This window comes from Homo sapiens, chromosome 9 (genome assembly GCF_000001405.40).
Source record: "Homo sapiens chromosome 9, GRCh38.p14 Primary Assembly".
Classification (NCBI taxonomy): Eukaryota; Metazoa; Chordata; class Mammalia; order Primates; family Hominidae; genus Homo; species Homo sapiens.
In genome coordinates this window covers 122,872,213-122,897,938 of record NC_000009.12, presented here as the reverse complement: position 1 = coordinate 122,897,938, position 25,726 = coordinate 122,872,213, and the positions used below count along the sequence as shown (strand labels likewise).

Sequence of the window (25,726 nt, the reverse complement as noted above, 5' to 3'; positions counted from 1 at the left end):
AAACAAAAAAACCGCCCAGCAGTCCAAAGTAATTTGTGTTCCTAAAAATGGAATATGGAAAGTTAATTTGCTTGTTTGATGTGGTCGTTGAGAAAAATACATAAAAGCTTTGATGTTTATTATGTGAGCAACCAATATAAATACAGTTTAGTTGAAAGGAACACTATTAAGGTATTGTTTCCAGGCAGAATTTCAGAAATGTAATTAATTCAGCAAATAGGTTTTTTAAAAAAGACATCCAAAGGTTATAAAATTATTTAGAAGTATTTTAGGTCTGAAGCTGTAATAGTTGACTTAAGCAATTAACTCTTCAAAGGTGAATGATGAATATGTGGTTAATTCATACTTTTGTCCATTTCTAGCTTACAAAACACTACACAGCAAAATAATGATCTGCTAGACTGCTAACCCGAGCATCCAGCTTCCACAATGCCTGTGCAGGCAGCTCAATGGACAGAATTTCTGTCCTGTCCAATCTGCTATAATGAATTTGATGAGAATGTGCACAAACCCATCAGTTTAGGTTGTTCACACACTGTTTGCAAGACCTGCTTGAATAAACTTCATCGAAAAGCTTGTCCTTTTGACCAGACTGCCATCAACACAGATATTGATGTACTTCCTGTCAACTTCGCACTTCTCCAGTTAGTTGGAGCCCAGGTAAGCATTCAAGATTTTACTATAGGTTGGTGCAAAAATAATCACTATTTTTGCCATTATTTTAACGGCTTGTCCAGCCTGCAGGCTACATGTGGCCCAGGACATCTTTGAATGCGGCCCAACACAAATTCATAAACTTCCTTAAAACATTGTGAGATTTTTTTTGTGATTTATGTTTATGTTTTTAGCTCATCAGCTATCGTTAGTGTTAGTGTATCTTATGTGGCCTTTTTTTTTTTTTTTTTTTTTTTTTTAGACAGAGTCTCACTCTGTCACCCAGGCTGGTGTGCAGTGGCGTGATCTGGGCTCACTGCAACCTCCACCTCCTGGGTTCAAGCGATTCTCCTGCTTCAGCCTCCCAAGTAGCTGGGACTATAGGCCCACATCACCATACCCAGCTAATTTTTTTTGTATTTTTAGTAGAGACGGGGTTTCACTATGTTGGCCAGGCTGGTCTGGAGCTCCTGACGTCAGGTGATCCGCCCACCTCAGCCTCCCAGGGTGCTAGGACTACAGGTGTGAGCCACTGCACCCAGCCATCTTATGTGGCTTTAATGGCAAAAACTGCAATTACTTTTGCAGCAACCTAATAATTTGTTACATGAAATAGTTATTGAACTTTATTCAGTAATAGGTATATAGTATGTTTAGTGATCATTAAGGTGTAAAAAATAAATTTCAATGTACCTGATTTTCATGATTGTATTCTGCGAAAGATTTTCTTTAGATAATGTCATATCCTTATACAAAACCTTAGATTACATTATAGTTACATATTCAATTCTGTGGCTAAAATTTATGTATATAAGTGATATTGGTGGATAAGAAATATTTTTATATAAGCATATATATTTATTCACCAGGTGATATGAAAAGAAATGTAATCAAAGCTTTGACCAGAAACAGGTTTTTTTGTTGTTGTTGTTACTTTTTTTTACTTCACTTGACTTTTTATATAATAGTGTAAATGAAACAATAAGGTCTATGTAGGGATGTATATATGGAAAACCAAAAACCAATGTGTCAGTAATAAATTCTCCATGATTTCTTCTGAACATGTGTTGTATCAAGCTTGTCTGGCTTTCAGGCCACATGCAGCCCAGGACAGCTTTGAATGCAGCCCAACACAAATTCGTAAAGTTTTTTTTTTTTTTTTTTAACTCATCAGCTATTGTTAGTGTTAGTGTATCTTATGTGTGGCCCAAGACAATTCTTCCAGTATGGCCCACGGAAGCCAAAAGACACCTCTGAGCTATGTGATGCTTTAGTTGAACATTAGGGGGGAAAAAAAAAAGAACATGTGCTATAGAATTCATGTTTGTAATTATTTTATTGAATCAAAGCAAGACTCTAGATTTGAAATAACATATTTAATGAGGGTCTACTTTGCATTAGGTTTGACAGAAAGTATTCAGCATTTATTATTACTAATTCTTACCATAGGTTTTCAGGTAGTTATTATCCCCATTTTACAAGTTAGGAAGAGATGAAATTCTGTACATCATGTGCTACATATTAAAGCCAGAAAGGAATTATTTTTCTGATTTAATAGAAAATCCAATAAACCAAAATACTTCATTCATTCCTTTAGTATCTTGATATTTGAAGTCCTCCTTGTAAAGCACAAAATCTCTTTTCAGTGTTTATAATCAAGTTACACACTATGAAATCAAGGTGCATCTACAATTGATAGTGTATCTTAATTTAATTGCCAGTATATTTTTGTTAATGGAGTATAAAATGTTGCCTCTTGCAAACAACATTTTAGATTTGATAAAATATCATAGACTTTTTGTAAGAATACTAGCTACCACCAGACACAGTGGCTTACACCTGTAATCTCAGCACTTTGGGAGGCTGAAGTGGGCAGGCTGCTTGAGGCCAGGAGTTCGAGACTAGCCTGGACAACATGGCGAAACCCCATCTCTACAAAAAATAAAAAAATTAGTCAGGCATGGTGGTGTGTGACTGTAGTCCCACCTACTTGGGAGGCTGAGATGGTGAGATGGGAGGTTCACTTGAGCCCAGGAGGTCGAGGCTGCAGAGAGCCAAGATCGTGCCACTGCACTCCAGCCTGGGTGATGGGAGTGAGACCCTGTCTCAAAAAAAAAAAAAAAACCTAGCTACCATTTATTTAGCATCTGCTATAGGTCAACAGGTATTGTGTTAATATCATTTGTAAATGTTATCTCAGTTGGTTCTTAAATTGCCTACAGGTCTTTACAGTGTGAATTCTGTTATCTCTTTTACTACTGTTCTTATTCTGCTTAAGCTACACTGGCTTCTTAGCCAGTTCTCAGATATACCAAGTATATTGCCAAGTGATGGCTTTTGTAGTTACTGTTACCTTTGCCTAGAACGTTCAGTCTGTCTCCATTTTCTTTTTTGTTGTTGTTGTTGAGATGGAATCTCTCACTGTCACCCAGACTGGAGTGCAGTGGCGCAATCTCGGCTCACTGCAACCTCCACCTCCCAGGTTCAAGTGATTCTCCTGCCTCAGCCTCCCAAGTAGCTGGGGTTGCAGGTGCGTGCCACCATGCCCAGATAATTTTTGTATTTTTAGTAGAGATGGGGTCTCGCCATATTGGCCAGGCTGGTCTCGAACTCCTGACCTCAAGTGATCTGCCCACCTTGGCCTCCCAAAGTGCTGGGATTATAGGCGTGAGCAACCGTGCCCAGCCTCTCTCTTCATGTTCTTTATTCATTCATATCTCACAGTTCTCAAGGGAGCCAATCCTGACCACCCTAATTAAATTTGTAACCCCTCGCTAGTATTTCCAGTCCCCCTTATCTTTGCTCTATAATTTCACCTCTTGGAACACTACAAATTTATTATGTTTTTAATTTATTGATTGGCTACCTCTTCTCCTCTCCACTAGAATGTGAGCTCCACAAAGGCAAAACATTTTGTCTGTTTTGCTCATTGATATATCCCTGGTACCTATAACTGTGTCCAGTGCATGGTAAGCACTCCATAAATATAATTATTTGTTGAATTGCATTGAACTTTTTTTTTTTTTGAGACGGAGTCTTGCTCTGTCGCCCAGGCTGGAGTGCAGTGGCGCGATCTCGGCTCACTGCAAGCTCTGCCTCCCAGGTTCACGGCATTCTCCTGCCTCAGCCTCTGGAGTAACTGGGACTACAGGTGCCCGCCACCACGCCCGGCTAATTTTTTGTATTTTTAGTAGATACAGGGTTTCACCGTGTTAGCCAGGATGGTCTCGATCTCCTGACCTCGTGATCCGCCTGCCTCGGCCTCCCAAAGTGCGGGATTCCAAGTGTGAGCCACCGCACCTGGCCTGTATTGAACTTTTATAGCGGCACTACAAAATACAGATTTTCATCTTCATTTTGCAGATATGGAAATTATGACTTGGAGCAGTTAAGTAATTTACTCAAGGTCATTCATAGAAGTAGCAGAGCTGCAATTTTTACCCAAGTTTTGACCTTTGAATGAGAACACTCTGTCTTAATAATGCTTATCTTAAGTAAATAATATAGTAAAAAGGTGATAAGTGCTTTGGGGAAAAAAAAACAACTGTGTCTTTTTTTCTCCACTCTTTAATTTTGAAATTCTTTCAGACTTACAAAAAAGTTGCAAAAAATACTATTCAGAGAACTTGTATAACTTTCCACAGCTTAACCTAATGTTAACATCCAACACCAAGAAATTAGCATCGATACAATACTGTTAACTTTCTGCTTCTTTTCTTCCTTCATTAATCCACACAGCTCCTGCTGTTAAGTATGTTATTTTTTGCTGTTGCTGTTATTGTTGTTATTTTGAGATGGAGTCTCACTCTGTCACCCAGACTGGAGTGCACTGGTGCGATCTCAGCTCACTGCAACCTCAGCCTCCCGGGTTCAAGAGATTCTCCTGCCTCAGCCTCCTGAGTAGCTAGAATCACAGGCATCCACCACCACACCTGGCTAATTTTTGTAGTTTTTAGTAGAGATGGAGTTTCACCATGTTGGCCAGGCTGGTCTCAAACTCCTAACTTAAGTTAATCTGCTGGCTTGGCCTCCCAAAGTGCTGGGATTACGGGCATGAGCCACCATGCCCGGCCTTATTTTTGGTTTGTGGAAAGCAGTTTGGCTAGGTGTTTGACTTTAATTTTACTTAAATGGCTTTCATGTATTATCTATGCATGATAATTTTATACTCACCAAGATTATTATCAAGTACATAAATAATAGTTGCATGAGCTGGATGAATGTATTTCTGCAATATTCCTTTTTTTTTTTTTTTAAGGTACCAGATCATCAGTCAATTAAGTTAAGTAATCTAGGTGAGAATAAACACTATGAGGTTGCAAAGAAATGCGTTGAGGATTTGGCACTCTACTTAAAACCACTAAGTGGAGGTAAAGGTAAGTTCATAAAATGCATTTTTACTGATAAGTAGGACTTGGTAGTACATTTACTTTGAATGACTTGATGTGGATACCCTATTAAGTTATGGAAAAGGAGTTTGCTTGAGAAATGCCTTGAAAAATGTATAGACTGAGAAAATTATGTTGTCCTATTTTCTGAAAATAACCAATATTGTTATTAAGAATTCAAGCTAGAGCCGGGCGCGGTGGCTCACCCCTGTAATCCCAGCACTTTGGGAGGCCAGCGCGGGCGGATCACAAGATCAGAAGATCGAGACTATCCTGGCTAACACGGTGAAACCCCGTCTCTACTAAAAATACAAAAAATTAGCCGGGCGTCTTGGCAGGCACCTGTAGTTCCAGCTATTCCGGAGGCTGAGGCAGGAGAATGGCGTGAACCCGGGAGGCAGAGCTTGCAGTGAGCCGAGATGGTGCCACTGCACTCCAGCCTGGGGCGACAGAGCAAGACTGTCTCAAAAAAAAAAGAATTCAAGCTGGGTGTGGTGGCTTCATGCCTGTAATCTGAGCACTTTATAAGGCTAAGGTGGGTAGATTTCTTGAGCCCAGGAGTTTGAGACCAGCCTGGGCAACAAGGCGAAAGCCCATCTCTACTAAAAATACAAAAAATTAGCTGGGCATGGTGACACACGCCTGTAGTCCCAGCTACTGAGGAGACCGGTGTAGGAGAATCACATGAGCCCAGGAAGTTGAGGCTGCAGTGAGCTGTGATCGTGCCACTGCACTCAACCTGGGCAATGGGAGTGAGACCTTGTCTCAAAAAAAAAAAAAAAATTTACCAGAGTCACTGCATCTTGAAATTTGTACATTATTTGAATTCACTGTGTAATAGTGCTGTAACAGAATATTAGTTTTGATAAGTCCTATTAAGACAGCTTCATGTATGCATGTATTCATTCAGTCATTCATTAAATTTTATTGAGCACTTAACAGTGATTAAGGTCACTGCCATCATGGAGCCCACAGTTTACTGGGGGAGATAGATGTACAAGTGTAATAAATTATTTTAAGTCTATGACAAAACTGAAATTTTATCACTGCATACTTAGCACATCATAGGTATAATAAACAATTGTTGAATGATTGAATATATTGAGTATTTTGTACCTGTTGAATGCTTTGCACTGTTGTGTATGTGGCCATAGTGATTTTACTGAGAAACTTATCCCCTGTATTCATTCATTCATTTATTGAACAGCTATCTAAAGAGCGTGGACTGAGAGTGTCAGGCATTCTTCTAGTGCTGGGATACATTAGTAAGCCAAATAATGTGTTTTAAAGGAGTAATGAGTAATCATGTGTGTTGAATGCTGTTGGAAGGTCAGATAAAATAAGGAACTAAGAATTAACTAATTTAACCAATTTAGCAAGTTTGGTCAAGTGATGTGGGAAAAATTTGATTGGGGTGGGTTTCAGAGATTGTGAAACAAGGAATTGGAAGTAGTGAACAGATCAATTGTAGTGATCTACAATTGGCTAAGTAGTTAAGGCACTAGACTAGGAAATAGCGAGTATAGACAACTCTAGAAAATTTGCTGCATAAGAGAAGAAAGAAATGGAACAGAGGCTGGGCACAGAGGCTCACGCCTGTAATTCCAGCACTTTGAGAGGCCGAGGCGGGCAGATCATTTGGGGTCAGGAATTTGAGACCACCCTGGCCAACATGGTAAAACCCCATCTCTACTAAAAATACAAAAAAAATTAGCCAGGTGTGGTGACACTCACCTGTAATCCCAGCTACTCGGGAGGCTGAGGCAGGAGAATTGCTTGAATCTGGGAGGCAGAGGTTGCAGTGAGCTGAGATTGTGCCACTGCACTCCAGCCTGGGCGACAGAGTGAGACTCTGTCTCCAAAAAAAAAAAAAAAAAAAAAAAATGGGGCAGATTTGGTAGGGGAAGCAGGATCAATGAAAATATTTGTATTTTAGATGGATGAAATAACAGCATACTTGTTCTTATTCTGTAATGATGGAAATGTTCAAGTAAAGAGGGAAAATTTGATAATGTGGGAGAGGGGAGAATTGCTGGAGCAATATTCTTACATAGGTACATAGGAGTAGAATCTAAGAGCTTACCATTAAGCAGTATTCTAAATGTCTTATATACAATTAAAAAATAGAGTCATTTTTACTTTTAGGTTAAACTGCTAAAGTAGCTAAAAATTAGGCTTCTTATTACTATAGAATAATAACAAACAGAGACAGAATACTGTTAGAAAAATGAAAGCACATTACAAGGGACTCATTAGGAATTGTGGCTTAATCGTTAAATGCAGATAATGAAAATTGACTTTTATTTTTTATTGAAAAAACTTTAGCTCCCTTTGTTTCCCTTTTCCTAAAGGTGTAGCTAGCTTGAACCAGAGTGCACTGAGCCGTCCAATGCAAAGGAAACTGGTGACACTTGTAAACTGTCAACTGGTGGAGGAAGAAGGTCGTGTAAGAGCCATGCGAGCAGCTCGTTCCCTTGGAGAAAGAACTGTAACAGAACTGATATTACAGCACCAGAACCCTCAGCAGTTGTCTGCCAATCTATGGGCCGCTGTCAGGGCTCGAGGATGCCAGTTTTTAGGGCCAGGTAAGATAGGTTACTATCTTACCTTTTTTATTAGCTATTGGGGCTTGAGGATGCCAATTTCTGGAGCTCGGTGAATCCTGAGACTCAACCCGTCTTTATATGTACAAATCTTGATATAATTAAAGATAAATTTGTTTTTGTTGTTGTTGTTATTGCTGTTTTGTTTTGTTTGAGACAGGGTCTCACTCTGTCACCCAGGCTGGAGTGCAGTGGCGCAGTCTTGGCTCACTGCAGCCTCGACATCCATGCTCAAGCAATTCTCCTGACTCAGCCCCCTAAGTAGCTGGGACTACAGGCACACGCCATCATACCCGGCTAATTTTTCTATTTTTTGTACAGACAGGGTTCCACCATGTTGGCCAGACTGGTCTGGAACTCCTGACCTCAGGTGATCTGCCTGCCCCAGCCTCCCAAAGTTCTAGGATTACAGGCGTGAGCCACTGCACCCAGCCAATATAAATCCGTTTTTATTAATCTTAATTTATATGATAGACAGTGCTTTTGTGTTTTAAAACAAAATTTCTCATTTAAGCTTCAATTGCCATCAAGATAGGCAATATAGCTACAGTTTTACAAATTAGAAAACCAAGTTAGAGGCCTAAGATTGAACACGTAATAAGCCAAAGAAAGGTAAGCTTTTTTTTTGGTCTGAAAAAAAATGTTTAAACTCTTGATCGTTTTTAGGGGATAATTATTTATGATTAGTGTTATCTATGTTCTGTCTTAAAAAATCTTCACCTATACCAAGGTAATGAAGTTCCCTCCTGTGTTTTCTTCTTGAAGGTTTATTGTTTGAACTTTGTGATTTAGAACTACAGTTCGGGTAGAATTTATTTTTGGAAAGGAAACTTTTAATAAGTGATGTTGGGACAACTAGATCAAAATGCGGAAAAAGCAAAATTAGATGCATTTCTTATTCTCTATAAACTATATAAATTACAAACGTCAGAAATCCTTATTAAAAATAAAAATATACTGGTAATAAAAACCAATAAAAGAATATATTTCTTTATAACCTGTGAGTAGGGAACATTTTTCTAACTTTAACTCAAAATCTAGAAACAATAAGGGAAGAAACTGATATTTGACTATATAATTTTGTGTTTAATTTACATCACAAAAAAATTATAAGCAAATGAAAAAGAAGACCAACTGGGGAAAATATTTATAAATTACGTAACAAACATACACAGAGGACTAATATAACTAATATATAAGGTATGTCTAAAAATTCAGAAGAAAAAGACCAACAACCAACTGAAAAATTGACAAAAGATGCAAGAAATACCATTTCTCACCTATCAGATTGGCAGAATCTTAAAGTCTGAAAATATATTCTGTTGGCAAGGGTGTGAGGTACTCTCATCCAGTAGTCATGGGCATGCAAAGTGGTACAGACTTTTAAAGAAAGGAATTTGGCAACATCTGAAAATATTACCTCTGTGTTTACCCTTTGGTCTAGCAATCCCACTTCTAGGAATCTATCCCAAAGAGACAACAGAAGGTACAGAATGCATACAGTTATAAAAGCACTATTTGTAATAGCAAACATCTGGAAACAACCTGAATGCCTATGCGTAATAAGGTACTAGTATAATAAACTGTGGTATATCCTTCCAGTGTAGTACTATGCAGCTGTCGAAAGAAATGAGGAAGAAGTATATATTCTGCTAGGGTGTGACCTCCAGATACGTTGGTAAGTTAAAAAATAAAAGCAAGGTCCAGAATAATTTGCTCAGTATAGTACTTTCTAAGTAAGAGAAGGAGGGAGAAAATCCACTTATTCATTTAAATTTTCCAAAAGAAACAATGGCAAAAAAATAGAAGACTAATACCAGTATGTAGAAGAACGAGGAATCAAGGGAAAGCAGACAGGGACAGAAGCTAGACTTTGCCAACTCTATCTTGTTTTGTACTTTGGAACCACATAAATATTTTATGTAATTATAAAACAACTTTAAATATTTTTTAAATTTAATTAAAAATGATCAAAATAATACCTAAAAATAAAGCTAAAACAAGTTGGTAGCATATTCATTTGAGAATGAATTATTTCAGGTTACTTTAGAACACAGTGTTTTGACTTTTATATCCCTAGTGGAATATATAATAAATCCTAAATTATATTTGTTTGTCATATTGTTCATAATTCTGGTCTTGTTATTTAGAAACTTAAACAGACACACAGTTGGATAAAACAAGCAAGCAAATAATTATGTTAATGCCACCAGAACCAAGACTTTCAGCATTTAAAAAAAAAGATACAAGGCCAGGCGCAGTGGCTCACGCCTGTAATCCCAGCACTTTGGGAGGCCGAGGCGGGTGGATCACCTGAGGTCAGGAGTTCAAGACTAACCTGGCCAACATGGCGAAACCCTGTCTCTACTAAAAATAGAAAAAATTAGCCAGGTGTGGTGTCAGGCACCTATAATCTCAGCTACTCGCGAAGCTGAGGCACGAGAATTGCCCTAACCTCGGGGCAGAGGTTGCAGTGAGCCGAGATCATGCCACTTCACTTTAGCCTGGGTGAAAGAGCAAAACTCCATCTCAAAAAAAAAAAAAAAAAAAAAGATACAAGTATAAAATCAAAGATTTAAGTAAAACTCCTGCAGTCTTAAATTTGAATTGGCAATATTAGTACGGACTCAATTGTTTTTCTAAAAAATGCCAGTGTCCAAGGTCTGTCCACTGAAAATGCTTAGAAGTGATGAATAACCATAACACCCAGATTATGGGCTTTCATATATACCATTTCCCACTAAAAGGAGGCAGGGCTCTTTGGGTAAATGCCTTACTCCAGTCTAGGGTAGGAAGTCTTGTGCTGGGCGGGGAGCAGGGAAGCAAAAAAGCTTATAATCCCAGTACTTTGGGAGGCTGAGGTGGGAGGATCAGTTGACCCCCAGAGAAAGAGAGGAGGGAGAGACAATTTTGTTGAAAGGACAAAAGTTGAACATGAAGGAGCTCCTACTAGATGTAAGTGGGGCAATTTAAACATCATAATGAATGACTCCAAAGGATTGAAACACAATATGTACAAACAATTTCAGGGAGAGTTCTTATATATTGAGGAAAGTTTCCTCTTTTAGCTGAATTCAAACTAATAATACATTTAGAAAATGATACAATTAGAAAAATCACAATTTTACATCCCCAAATGTATTAATGGGCTTCAGCAAGAATTATTTGTGGCTGTTAAACCCATTAGACGAGAGGTTACTGGGGAAATTTATAGCAGATGGATAAAGTCTGAACCCACTGATAAATCTTAGCATTACTAAAAGTGAGGCAAATTTTCCATTATACAAAGTTTTAAGATATTTTAAAAATCTACTTTTATATAGAATTTAAGAATGTTACCTTTAGATATTTCCTGATGTTTACTTTAAGAAGCACTAGACTAGGTGTCACATCTCTTTTGTTCTACAGCTCAGAAACAAAAATACAACCTAACTTAAAAGTGGGTAAATAACTTGAATAGACATTTCTCCAAAGAAGAGACACGATGACTAACAAGCACATGAAAAAACCCTGAGTGTATTTAGTTATTAGGGAGATGCAAATCAAAATCACAGGGACATACTTGTTTATACCCACTTGGCCATTATTTTATTTCATTGTTTTAGAGACAGGGTCTTGCTCCATTGCTCAGGTTGGAGTGCAGTGGCACGCTTATAGCCCACTGTAACTTCGGAACTTCTGGCTTCAAGTGATCCTCCCATCTCGGCCTCCCAAAATGCTGGGAGTGGCCATAATTTTTAAAATGGAACATAACCAATGTTGATGAGAACGTGGAGAATGTGGGCACGTAAAATGGTGTGCTGCTTTGGAAAACAATTTGTCAGTTCCTTAAAAAGTTAAACAATTACCATATGACCCAGCAGTTTTATTCCTAGGTATATACCCAAAAGAATAGAAAACAGGTATTCAAACTAATACTTGTATACAAATGTTTATTGCAGCGTTATTCACAATAGTCAAAAGGTGGAAACAATCCGAATGTCCATCAAGTGATAAATGGATAAACAAAATGTAATGTATCCATAAATAGGCTATTCCTCAGCCATAAAAGGAATAAATACTGATACATGCTGCATGTGGATGAGCTTCAAAAAAACTACGTTAGGTTGGGCACGGTGGCTCACACCTGTAATCCCAGCACTTTGGGAGGCCGAGGCGGGTGGATAACTTGAGGTCAGGAGTTTGAGACCAGCCTGACCAACATGGGAAAACTCTGTCTCTACTGAAAATAGAAAAAAATTAGCTGGGCATGGTGGTGCACACCTGTAATCCCAGCTATTCGGGAGGCTGAGGCACAAGAATCGTTTGAACCTAGGAGGCGGAGGTTGCAGTGAGCGAAGATCGTGCCACTGCACTCCAGCCTGGGTGACAGAGCAAGACTTTGTCTCAAAACAAAACAAAACAAACAAAACAAAACAAAACAAAAAACACGTTAAATGAAAGAAACCAGACAGCCAGCTAGTGTTGCCAGGGGCTGTGTATAGAGTGTATGAACAGTGACTGCTTAATGGTGATGAGTTTCCTTTGGGGTGATGAAAATGTCTTAAATTAGACAAAGTTGATGGTTGTACACATTGTGAATGTAGTAAATACCACTGAATTATGTGGTTAAAATGGTTAATTTTATCTCAATTTTTAAAAAAGTCCTTGCCAGCAGAGAAACCCTGGGAGGCAAAAAAAGAAAAAATTTAAAGAATTTTAAAAGTCCTTGGTTCTATTAGATTGGTGCAAAAGTAATTGTGGTTTTTGCCATTATAGTTCCAATTTTGTTGGTAACTAGATACGTTACCTTGGTTTAATCACTTAACTTCTCTGGACCTCAGTAGCCTCACTTAGAAAAAAGGTTTGTATTTTGAATCTAGATAATCTTTCAGCTCTTAAGCTCTATTGTTTTGATTAATAACCATGTATTTGTAATTTATAATTCTGAAATAATTTCGTATTTACTGAAAAGTTGTAAGAATAATGCAGAGAATTTTTTATATATTCTTTACCGACATTCAGCACTTTCTAATATTTTGCCATATTTGTTATTCTTTCCCTCTCTTCTGAACCATTTGAGAGTAGGTTGCTTGTTTTATGCTCCTTTCCTTTTAATACTTTAAAACTAAAGTATTTAGTTTTCCTAAAAACAAGGATACTGTCTTATGTAACAATATTACATTCATTAAATTTTTAAAAATTAATGATACAATACAGTACTATATACAATTTGTAGTTCATATTCCAGTTTTGTCAACTATTCCAAAAATATCTTTTATAGTATTTATTCAAGTGTGAGATCCAGTTCAAGATCACTTTCTATACGTTTTAGTCATGTCTCTTTTTAGTCGTCTTTATTCTGGAACTGTTCCTCAGCTTTTCTTTGCCTTTCATGACACTGATATTCCTGAAGAATACAGACCATTTGTTTTACAGAATATTTCTTTTTTTTTTTTTTTGGAGACGGACTTTCGCTATGTCGCCAGGCTGGAGTGCAGTGGCGTAATCTCGGCTCACTGCAACCTCCACCTCCCGGGTTCAAGGGATTCTCCTGCCTCAGCCTTCTGAGTAGCTGTGACTACAGATGCACGCCACCATGCCCAGCTAATTTTTATATTTTTAATAGAGATGGGGTTTCACCATGTTGGCCAGGATGGTCTCGAACTCATGACCTCAGGTGATGTGCCCACCTTGGCCTCCCAAAGTGCTGGGATTACAAGCATGAGCCAGCGTGCCCAGTCTCAGAATATTTCTTAATTTAGGTTTGTCTGATGTTCTCCAATGATTAACTTCAGATTATACCATATATCCTTGGCTGTAAAGCAACATAAATGAAATTAATACCTTCTTTGGGTTTTGCATTCAGAGGCTAATATCATTTTTTAAATTATATACAAAATAGTTCTGACAGGCAAAGTAACAGTCTCATGCATGAAAACAATACCATTTATTATAAGCCTACTGTGGGTCCTTTGCATATCATTGTCAGAGTAGTTCTGTGTGTTTAATTTTTTTTTTAGAGACGGAGTCTCGCATTGTTGCTGAGGCTGGAGTGTGGTGGCACGATCTCGGCTCACTGCAAGCTCCACCTCCCAGGTTCATGCCATTCTCCTGCCTCAGCCTCCCAAGTAACTGGGACTACAGGTGCCTGCCACCACGTCCAGCTAATTTTTGTATTTTTAGTAGAGGCGGGGTTTCACCATGTTAGCCAGGATGGTATCGATCTCCTGACCTGGTGATCCGCCCGCCTTGGCCTCCCAAAGTGCTGGAATTACAGACGTGAGCCACCGCGCCCGGCCTAATTTTTATGTATTTGTTTGAGATGGAGTTGGTCTCTGTTACCCAGGCTGGAGTGCAGTGATGTGATCACAGCTCACTACAGCTTCAACCTCCTGGGCTCAAGTGATCCTCCACTTCCGCCTCCAAAGTAGCTGGAACCACAGGCACGTGCCACCATGCCTGGCTAATTTTTTTAATATTTAACATTTTTTTTGTAGAGACAGGGTATCCCTATATTACCCAAACTGGTCTCAAACTCCTGGGCTCAAACAGTCGTCCTGCCTCGGCCTCTCAACGTGCTGGGATTTACAGGCATGAACCACCACACCCAGCTATGTGTTTTATAAATGACTTTTTTTACCTTAACATTATCATCATCTAATTGACTGTTAAATACAGAATATATTTTAAGTTCTGTTAACTTGTGTTCTGATTGGTATTTAGTGGAAAATATGTTTTATTTATGGAAAGTATGTTTTATTTTGCTTGATTACTTTTTAAATTATGTACGTGTGATGTCCTCTTTGTGCTAATTAAATATAAATTATGGGTAATGGGCCACTATAAACTCTAATACCCAAAGATGCCTATGACACACATGATCTGATGGGTTCCTCATTTGTCATGAACTCATGTTCCTTTAATATTTTTAGCTATGCAAGAAGAGGCCTTGAAGCTGGTGTTACTGGCATTAGAAGATGGTTCTGCCCTCTCAAGGAAAGTTCTGGTACTTTTTGTTGTGCAGAGACTAGAACCAAGATTTCCTCAGGCATCAAAAACAAGTATTGGTCATGTTGTGCAACTACTGTATCGAGCTTCTTGTTTTAAGGTAAGCAGTAAGTATCTATGTAAAGACATGCCTGTTTGTGAGACAGAGACTTCCTGAAATTCATGTTACCCAGTCTAGAGGCCCTAGCAATGCAGAATGCTTACAAGAGTTGAGAGGAAACTTTCCTTCTGCATTGATTGCATCTGTGATACCACCTTTTGGTAGTACCCATTACTATCTATTGGCAAAATAAGAGCATATATGTGAAGATGTCAGTAACGGAAAGAACATAAGGAAATCATTTGGTAAACTTGACTCTTATCAAGTAAAAGTGGACTGCAGAAGCCTCATTTCTTTACATTTAGTGTCTTGAAATCAGACTATATTGGAAACTTCATAAGGAGTATGTAAACTTTGTAACCCATTATTATGTTTGTTATCTCATTCTCTGTAGTGATTAGATTAACACCTTTAATCTGAAAATGGCCTACATGTTATCTCAGATACAACCAGGAAATGGAAAGTTGAGGAGATTGGCCCACTCTGCTTTTAGATGTTGTTTTTTGTTTAGTGGAAAGGGTAGAGAAGAACCCCAAGATATTTTAAAATGTAGTTTCATTGTCTAATAGTCTAGCGGGTAGTGACAGATACTGAAAGCAAGCTGAATCCTTAAAGTGTTTTTATGATCCAAGAGTGTAGGTTGCTGGCTGGGTCTTGAGAAAGGCTCATGTACTTGGAAATAGAAAGGCCTATTGGCTTCTATGAAAGTAAAACATTTAAATTTGAAACCAAAGCTTATTTAGGTTATTTTGTTGGTTTTATAGCCCCCAAGAGTGAAAATAGTACAGACAGAAAAATGTTTCTTTGGCAGAACACTTAGTTTGAGATAACAGGTAGTTGATAATAGAAATGTGTTGAAGTGAATTCATTTAACTCCACTAATGAGGCTTGGACACTAGCTGCCTCATAGTCATAGTGTTTAGTTTCATGCTCTTAGGGCAACAATTGAAATTAATCTCTGGTTCCACACACAACCTCACTAGGCCCTGTAAAACTCTGTATCTTTTGAATGTGTAGTTTTTTTTACTACTTAAGTAGAAATTAAAGCTATGTAAATACCCTGATGATAATTTCTCTGGTAGCAGAACATTTCTTCTTTTCATTTTTTTTTTAAAGCAACAGACTTTTGCTCTGTTGCTTAGGCTGGAGTGCAGTGGTGCCATCATAGTTCACTGCAGCCTTGAACTCCTGGGCGTAGGCCATCCTCCTGCCTCAGCCTCCCTAGAAAATTTCTTAATTATCATGTGGTAGTGGTAATATATGCCTACCTATTAGCTGGATTCCTTGCTTGTCTATCTTTATCCTCTACTGTTACCAAAGTGATGTTTTTTAAAGCATAAATCTGATCATGTCACTTCTATGCTTAAAAATCCTCAATCAGCTCTGTGCAGTGGTTTATACCTGTAATCCCAGCACTTTGGGAGGCCAAAGCGAGAGGATTGCTTGAGCCCAGAAAGTCAAGGCTACAGCGAGCCTAGATTGTGCCACTGCACTCCAGCCTGGGTGACAAAGACCCTGTCCTCTCCATCCCCACCCCTGCAAAAAAAGTCAGTGGTTTCACATTCCCTTCATAATAATATCCAAATTCCCTGCCGTAGTATATAATGGCCTGTATTCTTCTCTAGCCTGTATCATATCTTAACCCTATGTGCTCTGCTTTTTCATGTTTCTGTTTCACCACTTGTTTCTCTTTTAAAAATTCTATTTCTCCCCCTTCTCTTTTTTCCTTTTTTTTTTTTTTTTTTTGAGACGGAGTCTCACTCTGTCCCTCAGGCTGGAGTGCTGTGGTGCTATCTCAGCTCACTGCAACCTCTGCCTCCCGAGTAGGTGGGAGTACAGGCGCCTGCCACCACCATGCCTGACTAGTTTTTGTATTTTTTCTTGAGATGGGGTTTCGTCATGTTGGCCAGGCTGGTCTCAAACTCCTGACTTCAAGTGATCTGCCCACCTCGGCCTCTCAAAGTGCTGGGATTACAGGCATGAGCCACCATCCCTGGCCTCCTCACCTTTCTTTGCTCAGGAAACTCCTGTTTATTGTGCACAAATCAATTCATGTAGCTTTCAGCTGGGAGAAGCCTTTTCTGAAATCCCTTTCTTCTCCCTAATTTAATTCCCTTTCCTCTTTGTTGCCATCAAGCCTTATAACTTTTACTATAATTTTCTACTTACAAGTTTCTCTTTCTTACTAGTGGCTGAAATCATTGAAGGCAAGGATTATGTATTTAGTTATGTAAGTTCTGTTTTGTTCCAGAAAGAATTTGTGGTCAGGACATTATCTTATCTTTGTACCTTATTTCTGTGGTGTCTGATATGTAAGTATCCCCCACCCTCCCTGAAAAAGGAATAAACGAATCAGTTGAAGGGAGAAAGCACAGACCAATTCTGATTTTTCTCTTTTCTATTTTTTAGGTTACCAAAAGAGATGAAGACTCTTCCCTAATGCAGCTGAAGGAGGAATTTCGGAGTTATGAAGCATTACGCAGAGAACATGATGCCCAAATTGTTCATATTGCCATGGAAGCAGGACTCCGTATTTCACCTGAACAGTGGTCCTCTCTTTTGTATGGTGATTTGGCTCATAAATCACACATGCAGTCTATCATTGATAAGGTTTGTGAAATTAGAGATGCTGATGTTCTATCATTGCTGTTACATTGAAGAGTATTAGAATATTCTAAAGAGTCTATACACAAACAGTTGGAGATTCCTATGTTTTTAAATGTCAGACTCTTATAAATTATCCTTATTTTCTTTTTATTTTTCTACTTGCAAAATAAAGGGATGCAACAGGGAAACAAATACATGATACTAGCATAAAAGCAGTGAGGCTTACAAAGTCTCAAATTTATCTATATTCTGACCTCAGAGAGTTAATACAGCTTATAAGTTTTCTAAGTGTCTAATGATGAATTTCATAGGGCAGATTCTGAGGTGAAAATTTAATTCATCACTGATACTCCTACTGTGGAATCTGAAGACACTTGAAAACGTATTAAATATGTTGATAAATTGAAAGTATTTGAGTATAAATGTGTCATAAGAACCAAAGTAAAAAGCATTCTCATTTCTGTTTGTTAGCTACAGTCTCCAGAGTCATTTGCAAAGAGTGTCCAGGAATTGACAATTGTTTTGCAACGAACAGGTGACCCAGCTAACTTAAATAGACTGAGGCCTCATTTAGAGCTTCTTGCAAACATAGACCCTAATCCAGGTATGTGGGAATATGCTCAGTTGCTTATATTTTTTTCTACTTTTGAGGTGAATAACACAAGAGAATTACTGCTAACATTCTTCCCCCCCAACCCCCATGCCCTTGGTGGCTTATTTTAGACGCTGTTTCACCAACTTGGGAGCAGCTGGAAAATGCAATGGTAGCTGTTAAAACAGTAGTTCATGGCCTTGTGGACTTCATACAAAATTATAGTAGAAAAGGCCATGAGACCCCTCAGGTAAGTACATTTATTACATTTCTGACTGCTGTTGTCTCTAACTCAGTTTCATCCTGAACATCTTAACCAGCTGTTTTGTTAATTGGACTCCGTATGTGACTCATAAGTTTCTATCATCTCTATTCTTTTGGGAGGAACCCAGTTTTTAGTGTACTTGGTAAACATTTCATAGCACACCAAGAGTTTAGAGGGTATCTTGGGTGTGAGTATACTTTATTGCAGAATATTTTTGACCAAATGTAGATAATTGATTCCAAACGTTTTGTCTCATTCTTTTCTACTGTGGGAAATTGTCATTTTTTTTCTGTATTGAATTTCTATATGTAAATTTATGGAATTTGAATTTTCTTTCTTTTTTTTTTAGACAAAGTCTCACTCTGTCACCCAGGCTGGAGTGCAGTGACGCTATCTCAGCTCACTGCAACCTCTGCCTCCTGAGTTCAGGTGATTCTCCTGCCTCAGCCTCCCAAGTAACTGGGATTACAGGCAAGTGCCACCACGCCCTGCTAATTTTTGTATTTTTTGTAGAGAGGGTTTTACCATGTTGGCCAGGCTGGTCTCAAACTCCTGACCTCAGGTGATCTGCCCACCTCGGCCTCCCAAAGTGCTGGGATTACAGGCGTGAGCCATCGTGCCTGGCCGAAATTTGAATTTTCAAGATACTTTTCAGTGTACTTTAGAAGTTAAGATATAAACCTGGCCAGGCACAGTGGCTCACGCCTGTAATCCCAGCACTTTGGGAGGTTGAGGTGAGTGGATCACTTGAGGCCAGAAGTTCGAGACCAGCTTGGCCAACATGGTGAAACCCCATCTCTACTAAAAAAAAAAAAATACAAAAATGAGCCAGGCATTGTGGTGGATGCCTGTAATCCCAACTACTGAGACGGCTGAGTCAGGAGAATCGCTTGAACCCGGGAGATGGAGGCTACAGTGAGCCGAGATCGCGCCACTGCACTCCAGCCTGGGCGACAGAGTGACTCTTGTCTCCAAAAATATAAAATAAAAAGAAGTTAAGATATAATCCTTTATACTTATAACTTCTATTTAATAAATTATTATGAGCCATTCACTACATTCAATGTTTTACATGTATTATTTCTTATCCTCACAGCCACCTGCAATGTAGTTGCTGTTTCCAAGCTGAAATTCAAAGAGGTTAAATAACATAAGATTGTGCTGTCAGGGGGCTGGGCGCGGTGGCTCATGTCTATAATCCCAGCACTTTGGGAGGCTGAGGCGGGCGGATCACAAGGTCAGGAGATCGAGACCATCCTGGCTAACATGGTGAAGCCCCATCTCTACTAAAAATACAAAAAATTAGCCGGGCGTGGTGGCAGGCGCCTGTAGTCCCAGCTACTTGGGAGCTCTCTGAGGCAGGGAGAATGGCCTGAACCCGGGAAGTGGAGCTTGCAGTGAGCTGAGATGGCGCCACTGCACTCCAGCCTGGGCAACAGAGCAAGACTCCGTCTCAAAGATAAAAATAAAAAATAAAAAAGGTTGTGCTGTCAGTAAGAGCTGGGATCAAACCTACACTTTGTACTCTTCTCTCCTTATTCTTAGAAGATATTATAACTTAAAATATTAAAAACAAATGTTTTCATCCTAGGCTCATAAGAATAAGAATGTCTTAGATTTTGATGCAAATTGTAGAAGTAATAGTGAAATTTTAATATTCTGCCTCATTGTATGAACTCAAATAGTTTAAGCCTGAGAGTTGCACCCTCAAGCTGACAAGTGAATTGGTAATTTTTCACTTCTAGGTGGAATTGTATTCTACCTTTTCTGAGAAAGTTTAAGTAGACAAAGCTTTTGGTTTTTTTTTAATGCTTTTTAAAATTGTTTGATTTTGGTAGCAGAATTTTAAGACAGCAATAAATTGATGAAAAAATATTTTCTTTTTCTGGGCATTCTGTTAACTAATGAATAAATGGACATAACATTTGAACCAGTTTCGAATAATCTTCAGAAGGAATATCTGAAGTGCCAATTCAGGGTTATGTCACATAACTCACAACAGGAAACAATGGAATATTAGTTGTTTCAGCACAAGAATTACTTGTCTAATGTGAAAAAGAATTAAAGGTGTAATTATAAAGTTCTGAACTTCCTAGAGTGAATAACAAATGGAATCTTCACCTTGCCACTCATTGAATGTGTTCCCATTTTTGTAGCCTCAGCCAAACAGCAAATACAAGACTAGCATGTGCCGAGATTTGCGACAGCAAGGGGGTTGTCCACGAGGAACAAATTGTACATTTGCCCATTCTCAGGAAGAGCTTGAAAAGTAAGTGTTGAGAATTCTGTTTCATATGGGTTTAATTTTTGATTTTTATGGGAATGTTATATACAGTCCTGAAGTTTGTGATGACTTTCAAAAATGCAAGTTAAGGGCTGGGCACCATAGCTCATGCCTGTAGTCCCAGCAGTTTGCGGGGCTGAGGCAGGAGGATTGCTTGTGCTCAGGAGTTTGAGACCAGCCTGGGCAAGATAAGGAGACCCCCGTCTCTACAAAAAATTTAAAAATTAGCTGTGTGGCCCACAGTTGTGGTCCCAGCTGCTCAAAAGACTGAAGTGGAAGGATTGCTTGAACCCCATAGGTCAAGGCTGCAGTGAGTGTGTTCACACCACTGCACTCCAGCCTGAGGGACACAGCAAGACTCTGCCTCACAACAAAACATATAAGATCTGGGTACAAGATTTACATAAGTGATTTAGAACTTTACTCAGTGGTCATATTTTGAGACCATTTTATAGCTGGAATCCATATTTATACTGAGCACCTGTGCAGAATGAAAATACTTGCAGTCTTATTTGCTCAGATTCAGTTAAACCTAGCAGCAAAGTCTCAGGCAAAATGGTAAAGCAGATATATATCCTTTTTACGGCTTTTGGTCTTTTTAACATTCTTTTTCCCTGTGTATTCTTTCTCTTCTCCTATGGTTAACCCCTTTTTCTATGTCCCTTTACCCGAGACCTAAAAGTTAATGTATGTAAGGTTTAATACTATTATCCAATTTTTGTTGTTTTGTTTTTTAACTAAGACTTTCATTTTTGAGACCTCACCAAAAAATTGATCCCAGCTTTTCTACTTTCTGCTGGCCAGTGTATCAACTTTTTTTTTTTTTTTGAGGTGGAGTCTTGCTCTGTCGCCCAGGGTGGAGTGCAGTGGCATGATCTTGGCTCACTGCAACCTCTGCCTCCCCTGTTCAAACGATACTCCTGCCTCAGCCTCCCGAGTAGCTGGAACCACAGGCGCCCACCACCATGCCTGGCCAATTTTTGTATTTTTAGTAGAGACAGGGTTTCACCATGTTCACCAGGCGGGTCTCAAACTCCTGACCTCAAGCGATCTGCCTGCCTTGGCCTCCCAAAGTACTGGGATTACAGACGTGAGCCACCACACCTGCCCTGTCTATCAACTCTTTGTGGGCATATTCATTTTGTTTTTAGATACTTTAAACAAACTGAGCTAATTTTCTCCCATACCTCCTCCTCCTGCCTTCCATTGTACTCACCTCGTGTACCCAGTTTAGCCATCCAGCCTGTTATATATGCTGTGTTATAATAATCATATTTGTCAGCTGTCCTTCCTTAGCTTTTTCTGCTTAATCAGTCAAAAAGTTCTGCCAATTCATCTTCCTATATATTTCTCAGTTCTTTATTCTTCTTTCCATCCTTGTGATCCAAGCTGTCATCTCCTTTTCTCGATCCCTTGTTGCCTTCTCACTAGTCTTAAATCTCTCGCTGTCCACCCCTTCTCCCATTATTTCCCTTAAAACAGAAATATTTTAAAAGCACAGATTTACTCATACCACCCTTCTTCACCTAAGCCTTTGATAGCCTCTCATTGTCCTGTAGATTAAGAAATAAAATCTATGTTGTGGCCTCTAAGACCCTGCATCATCTAATCTGTGTCTGCCTTTCTGATCTCATTACACAACACTAATTGTACTCAAGCCACACTGACCTTCTCTCAGTTTGTGGTATGCACTGTGCTCTTTCCCACCTCAGGTCTTTTACATAATGCTGTTACTCCTAGCCTTGCCTTTGAGACCTTTCCTTTGTCTAGCTCATCCTTCGCTTTTTCAGGGTAATTCCCCTGACACTTCATACTAACCAGCTTCCTCTTTCAAACACTTATCACATAAAATTAATTAGTGGCCTGTTTTAGAGCTTGACAAACTTCTTTATGAAGTCCAGCTAGCAAACATTTTTGGCTTTGTGGGCCACAGAATCTGTTACAACCACTCAGCAGTGCCACTGTAGCAAAAAAACAGCCACAGACAATGCATAAATTGGGCATGGCTGTAAACTTTATTTATAAAAACCCTTTACAGAAACTATGGCCCATGATCTGTTTATTAAATGTTTGTCTATCTTACATAAGTGTAACCCCCGTGGACTATATCTTCATTGTTGTCTCCTTTCCTCAGTGGCTAGCTTGGGCACTGTACATAATGAGCTCTACAAGCAGCAGCATTGTGATAGAGAGAAGATAAGTGTGTGTGCAGTGAAAAGAGCAGAAACATGCTTCTCTTCTCAGTTTTTTTCCCCACTTGAAGTGCCTAGAGAAGAGGATTAAGGAGTCCTAAGGAAAAAAGATGCTGTTTGTACCCAATCGAACTAGTTCTATATACAGAATTTCACATCAAGATAATTTGGGAGACTCCAGGAAATACATTCAGCTTGTCCATACCTGAAATAGAGCTTTTTAGCTAAAAGGGGAGCTTTTGAGAAAGTTCGACTAAAAAAGTCAGAGAAGAAACTGTGGTTTCATTGCCATTCCACCCTCAATTAGTGCCCAGGCTGAAAATCCATTTTCTTCTTTCTCATACCTTCAAACAGACTTCACATTCTTCATCTGCAGTACCTAGTTCAGAACTTTATTATATTTTGCCAGACTTGTAATAGTAGCAGTAAAAATAATAATAGCCAAACTAGGTGTAGTGGCTCATGCCTGTATTCCCAGCAGTTTGGGAGGCAAAGGCAGGAGGATACCTTGAGTCCAGGAGTTTGAGACCAGCCTGGGCAACATAGTGAGACCTCACCTCTACAAAAAAATAAACAAAATTGGCTGAGCATAGTGGCATACGCCTGTCATCTTAGCTACTCAGGAGGCTGAGGTGGGAGGATTGCTTGAACTCGGGAGGTCAGGTCTGCCGTGAACTGAGATTATACCACTGTATTCCAACCCGGGCAGCAGAGCAAGACTCTGTCTCAAAAATATAAATAAATAAAAATAATAAAATAATAAATATATAAAATATCACTCATTCAAAAATAATAATAATGGCAAAATTATTGGTCACATTTTTAGTGTTTCACATGGTAATCCAGTTGGTTTTACTGCTTCAGTGGCTTTTTATCCAGTATCTTCCTATATCTCAATCTGTCTTTTCCATTTCCACTATTTTCTTTTTAAAATATGTGTGTCTCCTTTAAATTCTTAATTAGTTCCTCAGTACATCACAGAATCTCATCCTGATTTTATCCTCTAGCTCTACTCTGCCATTTGTATACTTTGTTTTTAAGGTATATTCAATTAATCACTGTTGATTACTATATAAATTTCTTTTACTCTTCTTTTCACTTGTCTATATTGTTTATTCCATATTGTATTATTTTCTCTCTCCTCTTTATCTGGATAACTATTTCTAATCATACTCAGATATTATCTTCCCTCCACAGACTTCCCTAGGCAGTGTTAATTGCATCCTTCACCATGCTGCCATAGCACTCCATACATAGTAGTTTAAAAATTATGGTATAGTTAGCTGGGTGTGGTGGCAAGCACCTGTAATCCCAGCTGCTCGGGAGGCTGAGGCGGGAGAATGGCTTGAACTTGGGAGGCAGAGGTTGCAGTGAGCCGAGATGGCGCCACTATACTCCTGTGTGGACGACAGAGCAAGATTCCGTCTCAAAAAAATAAATATAAATAAATAAATAAAAATTATGGTATAGTTATAAAACTACAGTATTATAATTGTTTATTTACATGTGTGTTTTCACTGGACTTCATTTATCTCATGGGTTATTAATCTTTTTTTTTTCTGGAGACAGGGCCTCACTCTATAGTGCAGTGGTATGATCTTGGCTCACTTGCAACTTCTGCCTCCCAGGCTCAGGGGATTCTCCCACCTCAGCCTCTCGAGTAGCTGGGACCACAGACACACGCCACCATGCCTGGCTAAATTTTTTTTATATTTTTTGTAGAGATGGGGATTCACCATGTTGCCCAGGCTGGTCTCGAACTCCTGAGCTCAATCTGCCCACCTCAGCCTCCCAAAGTGCTAGGATTACAGGCATGAGCCATGGCACCTGGCAAGGGTTCTTCATCTTTATATTTCCTGCATCTAGAAAACACCTGATAACATAAACTCAGTATGTTTATGTGGAGGAGCAAATAATATACAGTTCTTACTTCTTATTTCCAACCAGCTTCACACTCTATTGCTGTTTAAACAAACAGGGATAATACAAAGGATTAGAAAAGTAGGTGATGTGACTGTCCTTTCAGTTTAAAAAATACATATTGCTACCTCACTCTGAGCTTTTTGAGGATAGGCTGTTTGTCTTAGTTCACATAACACCAGAAATTCAGCAAATGTTTGTTCAACTTAAATAAATTAATTTTACCTATATTTTCTTTCTCTATTATACACCCCTCTAACCAAACAAAATGTGGATGCTCAATAATCCCTTCTTAGAATACATATTTATTATATGTAAACATAAAATAAATATGTAGAATAAATATTATGTAAATATGTGGATATGTTTTAGAACTAGGATGTTGGGGTTATGTTCCAAAGAATTGCTACATTCTGGGGAGTGTCAAAAGCGAGGGATCAACCAACTCAACAAATAGTGGCCAGGAGCAGTGGCTCATGCCTGTAATCCCAGCACTTTGGGAGGCCAAGGCTGGTGTATCACTTGAGGTCAGGAGTTTGAGACCAGCCTGGCCAGCATGGGGGAAACTCTGTCTCTACTAACAATACAAAAATTAGCCGGGCATGGTGGTGCACGCCTGTAATCCCAGCTACTGGGGAGGCTGAGGCACGAGAATCGCGTGAACCTGGGAGGTAGAGGTTGCAGTGAGCACCACTGCACTCCAACCTGGGTGATAGAGTGAGACTTTGTCTCAAAAAAAAAAGTTATAAAAGATTATTATATACTGGTTACTATTCAAGATGTTTCTAATGGAAAAAGAGGAACAGTAAACATGTAAATAAGCAATTTTGGCCATAGCAAAGAATTTGGATTTTATTCTGTTTGCAATAAGAAGTCATTTTAGAGTTTTATTTAAATGGAATGATGAAATTTTCATTTTGTCTTAGACATATCACTCTGGTGTCTGCATGGATGGAGACAAGTTAAACTTCTATATTGGTCCACAGGTGGGAGTTTGGTAGCTCGGGTAGGACTATAGCAATGGAAATGATGAAAAGTAGTCATACTTAGGATATATTTTGGAAGTAGAGCTGACAACATGGACCAATTGAATGTGGGCTATAAAGAAAAGAGAGGAATCAAGGATGACTC

The 25,726-nt window shown here is 38.9% G+C and overlaps 1 protein-coding gene and 1 non-coding gene across 7 annotated transcripts in view; both read left to right on the top strand.

Annotated features, from left to right (window-relative positions):
• Positions 1-25,726, top strand: part of RC3H2 (ring finger and CCCH-type domains 2) — a 60,804-nt gene that overhangs the window by 7,421 nt on the left and 27,657 nt on the right. For 5 of the 6 annotated variants that reach the window (NM_001354479.2, NM_001354482.2, NM_001354478.2 and 2 more), the window contains exons 2-9: positions 363-660; positions 4,913-5,030; positions 7,394-7,627; positions 14,560-14,735; positions 17,145-17,345; positions 17,814-17,946; positions 18,066-18,184; positions 20,356-20,468. In NM_001354479.2, coding sequence (NP_001341408.1) covers positions 430-660; positions 4,913-5,030; positions 7,394-7,627; positions 14,560-14,735; positions 17,145-17,345; positions 17,814-17,946; positions 18,066-18,184; positions 20,356-20,468 — 1,325 coding nt within the window. In that variant the 5' untranslated portion in view covers positions 363-429. Of the gene's footprint in view, positions 1-362; positions 661-4,912; positions 5,031-7,393; positions 7,628-14,559; positions 14,736-17,144; positions 17,346-17,813; positions 17,947-18,065; positions 18,185-20,355; positions 20,469-22,570; positions 24,154-25,726 lie in introns of those variants that run through there. The other variant, NM_001354486.2, reaches the window with a different exon arrangement.
• On the top strand, positions 17,620-17,726 carry SNORD90 (small nucleolar RNA, C/D box 90). Its single transcript, NR_003071.1, has one exon. It is a non-coding gene; the product is annotated as a small nucleolar RNA, C/D box 90 (small nucleolar RNA).